Source organism: Homo sapiens, chromosome 3, assembly GCF_000001405.40.
Source record: "Homo sapiens chromosome 3, GRCh38.p14 Primary Assembly".
Taxonomy (NCBI): Eukaryota; Metazoa; Chordata; class Mammalia; order Primates; family Hominidae; genus Homo; species Homo sapiens.
In genome coordinates, this window is record NC_000003.12 from 19,697,633 (window position 1) to 19,703,633 (window position 6,001).

The window sequence follows — 6,001 nt, forward strand, 5'->3', positions numbered from 1 at the left end:
CTGTTGGTAGGAATGCAAAATGGTACAGCTGCTATAGAAAATAGCATGGGGTTTTCTCCAAAAATTAAAAATAGAACTGCCATGTGATGCAGCAATTCCACTTTTTGGTACTTTTCCAAAAGAACTGAAATCAAGATCTTGAAGAGATATTAGTACTCCTATGTTCATTGCAGCACTGTTCACAAAAATCAATTGTGGAAACAAGCTCAATTGTCCATTGGAATATGAATGGATAAAGAAAATGTGGTGTATACACACATGAAATACTATTCAGATTCTTTTAAAAGAAATTCTAAAATGTGACAAGATGAATGAGCCTTGAGGACATTATGACAAGTGAAATAGGCCAGTCACAGAAAGACAAATACTGCATGATCTCACTTATATGAGGTATCTAAAATAGTCACATTCATAAAATCAAACTGTGGAATAGTGGTTTCCAGGGACTAGGGGCAGGGGGAAATGGCGAGTTACTAATCAACAGGCATGAAGTTTCAGTTAGGCAAGATGAATACATTCTAAAGATCAAAAGATGTACAACAACATAACTATAGTCACTGATACTGTATTGTACATTTAAAAATTTGTTGAGGGTAGATCTCATGTCATATGTTCTTATCACAATAAAATTAAAAAGAAAAAATAAAATAAAAACATTCTGGTAAGTGATTTGCTGTCTCCAGCTATACAATGAAATAGTAGGCAAATCTATCTGATAGACCCAGCCTCAAGATACAGGACTTAATATAATTGTATAGGACCACAGAATATCATGGAAGTTGTCACAGTAGGTCTAGAAAATGAGTGGTTTTTACCAGGGTTATCTGATGTAATGCTTAAAACGTCATTATGAGTCAGGTCTCATCACTCTCATAAAATAGATGAAGAAAAAGGCTCAGTAACTTATCCAAGATCATAAAAGATCTCTTTCCACTATACCACATGATATTTAATCAATGTTCAAATTAGCAATCATTGTCTAAGAAAAGACAATGACATAAAAAGAACCATATTTCAAAAATCTGCATAGATCTGACTATAGACAATATTCATGCTAAAACTGGCACAGCAGGGAAGGAAAAAAAGAAGAAGAAAAATTCTGCATAGTTAGTTGGGCCTAGAAGATTGGCAGTGCACCCCAGTGGGTAATCTTCTGTTACTAATAGAGATGCAAAGTGCTGGTATAGCAGAAGCAAGACACAGTTTGTTCTGTTTTCCAGCTCCAAAGCCATAAGCTTCTTCCTTGCTAAGGTGTGTATCTATCCTTGCCTCTTTCTCTCATCTGGTGCCAAGAGTGTTTTGTGTAAACATCTTTCTTCTTTCTATTCAGCACTATTTTTTTAAATATCGGAGTATATATAGTGGTAGAGTTTAGTTAAAAACATAGGTTTTCTATATCAATTTGAAAACAAATTGTATCTAATCATCTCTGTAACATTTCCTGCAAGGTAACAACTTTTAATGTTTAGATAAACACCGAAGAGCCTGTTTACTCTACCACCTAGTACCCAAGTGTCTTCTGACTTGTTTAAACCTGAACAACAGGGAGGACCATGAGTCAAGATCTGTAATTTTGTGTCCTTTTAAAATGATTAGAACCATTGCCAAATCTTTTAGCAGATTACCCTTAAAAGGACACAGTCCATACAGGTAATATATGTTTGTTGTAATCACCTTTTCCAAATCCATCTTTTTCAAATCAATTTATTCCATCCACCCACTCATTTATCTACTCACTCATGTGACTATCCATTTATTTGTTCGTTCATTCATTCATTAAAATATTATCTGTGAAGTCCTTACTTTATGTTAGGCAACATTGTTTAATTGTTCCCTACATTTCCCAGTCTATCCTCTGCCTTTCTGTCTCCTTTACTTTTTCCTTTTTCCACTCAAATTTCTGGATCCACCTCAAAAATTTCATACCTCTTTTTATCACCTCCAGTGCCTTGCATGAAATAGGCGCTCAGTATCTACTGGTTGATTGATAAGAAAAGTTTAGAGAACAAGAAGCAGGACATCATGGGTAAACAAACTGAGACAAAGATTAGAAAGCATTTAAGACATGACATGTGAAGAGGTTTACCTAACCTGATCAAATTTCTAGGAATACACATTTGAAAGAATAGTATGTAATTTAGAGTCCATGGAATAAGAGAGAAAGAAGGGGAACGTTAATTTTTTGGCAAGATTGGCAGCTTTCCAAAGGCTAAGTTGATGGTGATTACTTTGTTTTCTCAATAGATGCCTATTCAGAATGATAGAAGTTAGCAGCATGTAGTAACCCTTTGATATATGCCAAGTGACATGAATTTGTTAAAGTGGTCCCATCTAGATCCTTGCCAGGATTCACTAGATAGCATATACAGTTTTAGAATGAGATAGACCTAAGTTCAAGTCCAAACTCTAACACTTTCTACCTATGTGACCTTGGCAAGTTATTAATCTCTCCAAACCTTTGTTTCTCCATTAATTTAACACGAATAATTCTCTTCTCTACCAAGCTTCAAAAATTAAATGATACATGTTAAAAATTGTAACCCTGACCCAGTATATAGTAAATGTTTCATTGTAGTAGTTATATATAGTATCATCACATGGATTTTATATTTCTAATCAGCATTCCTAGGTGTTTCACCTTTTTCATATTTATACTTCTGCTTTTTTAATGCGAAGGGTAATCATCAATATAAAAAGATGTACTAGTGTCAGTTTGCAAGAATGTATAATTTAACAGATATATTTCACCTCTAAAAGAAATCCAAAACTGCTTGCTGTATTGATGATGAGTTCTAAATTTAGAAATAGTAGCCAGGGAGAACTAAAATACTCAAAGTAAATAGTATGAAAAATAGTTTATACTAGCATGATCTGCTTCTGACCAAGTCCATGGCATCCTTTATTAAATAATCACTTCTCCCTATCACCTTTACTGTACAACATGTCATAACCCTGCAGAAATTAATCTTTTATGTTTGAAAGATAAATTTTTAATGCACAGCTTTTGGCCAAAAGGTAATAAAATGTGAATCAAATAAGATTATGGAGGAGCTATGCTAATCATGAGAATAACGTTTTTAAAGTAATCTAGAAGCCAGCTAGGGTCACCCTACCTGTTAAAATCAAGACAAGAACTAAACCTCATGCCCTAGCAGTGGGAAGTTCAAACCTCTTCAAGATTCCTGCAAATAGCCTGGGAGCCTAGGTTCTTATGGTCATCTAGGTCTCCCATTATCTGCTTCTTCAAAAGTAGCTTAATTTATGAATAATTTTACCATGACACTCATATTCTTACCTTTTTCCAATATTGTATTGATCCAGACTTAAAACTTGGACTCTTCTCTTGATTTCTCCTGAAGAAAAAAAAAGTGTAGAACTGACTTTACTGAAGCTTTAGAGAGATGGGCAGAAAAGGAGGTATTTAAGTAGCACAGTAATACAAAAAAAGTTAAAATTGATTATAAGGAAAATCTTCCTAAAGTTCTTGTGTTGACTTTACTACTACAGATTGCTCACCCTCTGCCATTCTCCAGCTCATGCCCCAGCCTCTACCAATTTTTTAAACACCTCTCTTCTTAGTTCTCTTTCCTCAATCCTTCTTAAAATGCCCCTATAATCCAACAATTTTTCTTAGAGTATTTTACTTCTCTATTTACTTAACGTATTTTAGTTCTCTCTGGCTACTATTTCTAAATGTACTGCTAAGTCTACTTTATATTGGATGAATCCCTAATTGATCTTGAGTTAAACATAACAAACGGCAAGTCTGTTCTCTTGGCAGCATTAAGACTAGTAGAAACCTTAAGGTTTCCTCTACAATGATCCTCTCTCCTCAAAATTTCTCATTTTAAATAGTGATTTCTTCTCGTTAGGCAAGTATATAAATACATAAATTGGAAGTGAACCAAATAAACAAAAAAAGGCTAGGAACAGATAATATTATAATAGAATGATTCTTCAAAAGTTATTAGAATGATCACAGAACGTATTCAATGGAATCCTTCATTGAGACTAATGTGGAGAAATGTTTACGCCTTTCCCCAATCTGATATGTTATTTGCATAAACCAAGAATTGACTGAGACAGACCTTAATTGATTTAGAGGTTTATTTTGCCAAGGTTAAGGATACAAGTAGGAAAAATAAATACAAGTTACTGAAGGATCTGTGGCCTGTTTTTCAAAAGAGGGTTTTGAGGACTTTAATATTTAAAGGAGAAACAGCTGGCAGGAGGAAAAGGAGAGGGGAAAAAAGAATAGAGTGGAGTAGAAGGTGAGGCAAGTGTTACATTCATGTGACGCTTTGATTAGTGCCCACTGAATCCACATTTTACGTGTGAAAAGAGAGAAAAACTCAACATCTAAAATTTAATATACATAGATAAAGTAAACATGTGAAATTACAGCTATCTAGCAACAAAAGGAAGGCAGTTTTTGCAGATTCAGCTCCTACGCTTAATTTTCCCTTTGGCATAGTGAGTCTGGGGTCCTGATATTTTATTTTTCTTTCACACTTGAGATGTGGACATTTTATTGGCTTAAGATACATAAATTTGCTTTCAACTTCTGCTTATACCAATACAAAGTCCTGTGACTTTGAACAACCACCACCACCTCAAAACCTAATGGAAAAAGAAAAATCAGTTCCAGCTACATTCGTGAGCTGTTATGAGGAGCCAATGAGAGAATAAATGCTTAAGAGCTTTACAAACCTGGAGACATAATTGAAGTCCTTTCTTTAGCTTTTTAAAATATGGAGACCCATGAAAGTGAGAGATGACAGCGTGCTGGCAGCCCTTGCTCTCAGTGCCTCCTCGGCCTCGGTGCCCACTCCGCCCACGCTTGAGGAGGCCTTCAGCCCGCCGCTGCACTGTGGGAGCCCCTCACTGGGCTGGCGGAAGCCAGAGCCGGCTCCCTCTACTTGCGGGGAGGTGTAGACGGAGAGGCGCGGGAGGGAACCCGGGCTGCGCGCGGGTGCTCGCGGGCCAGCGCGAGTTCCGGGTGGGCGTGGGCTTGGCGGCCCGCACTCGGAGCGGCCGGCTGGCCGGCCCTGTGGAGGGTGCGCCGGCTTCCCCAGCAGTGCCGGAGCGCCGGCGCTGCGCTCAAATTCTCGCCGGGACTTAGCTGCCTCCCCGCGGGGCAGGGCTCGGGTCCTGCAGCCCGCCGTGCCCGAGCCTCCCTCCCGCCGCGGGCTTCTGCGCAGCCAGAGCCTCCCCTACGGGCACCGCCCCCTGCTCCGTGGCGCCCAGTCCCTTCGACCGCCCAAGGGCTGAGGAGTGCGCATGCACTGCGCGGGACTGGCGGGCACGTCCGCCTGCGGCCCTGGTGCAGGATCCACTAAGTGAAGCCAGCTGGGCTCCTGAGTCTAGTGGGGACTTGGAGAACCTTTATGACTAGCTAAGGGATTGTAAACACACCAAGCAGCACTCTGTGTCTAGCTCAAAGTTTGTAAATGCACCAATCAGCACTCTGTATCTAGCTAATCTAGTTGGGACTTGGAGAACCTTTATATCTAGCTAAAGGATTGTAAATACATCAATCAGCACTCTGTGTCTAGCTCAAGGTTTGTAAACACACCAGTCAGCACCCTGTGTCTAGTTTAAGGTTTGTAAATGCACCAACTCTGTGTCTAGCTAATCTAGTGGGGACTTAGAGAACCTTTATGTCTAGCTCAGGGATTGTTACCACACCAATCAGCACCCTGTCAAAACGGACCAATCAGCTCTCTGTAAAACAGACCAATCAGCTCTCTGTAAAATGGACCAATCAGCAAGATGTGAGTGGGGCCAGATAAGGGAATAAAAGCAGGCTGCCCGCGCCAGCTCTGACAACCCGCTTGGGTCCACTTCCACACTGTGGAAGCTTTGTTCTTTTGCTCTTCGCAATAAATTTTGCTGCTGCTCATTCTTTGGCTCCACACTGCCTTTATGAGCTGTAACACGTACTGCAAAAGTCTGCAGCTTCACTCCTGAGGCCAGCGAGACCACGAACCCACCAGAAGGA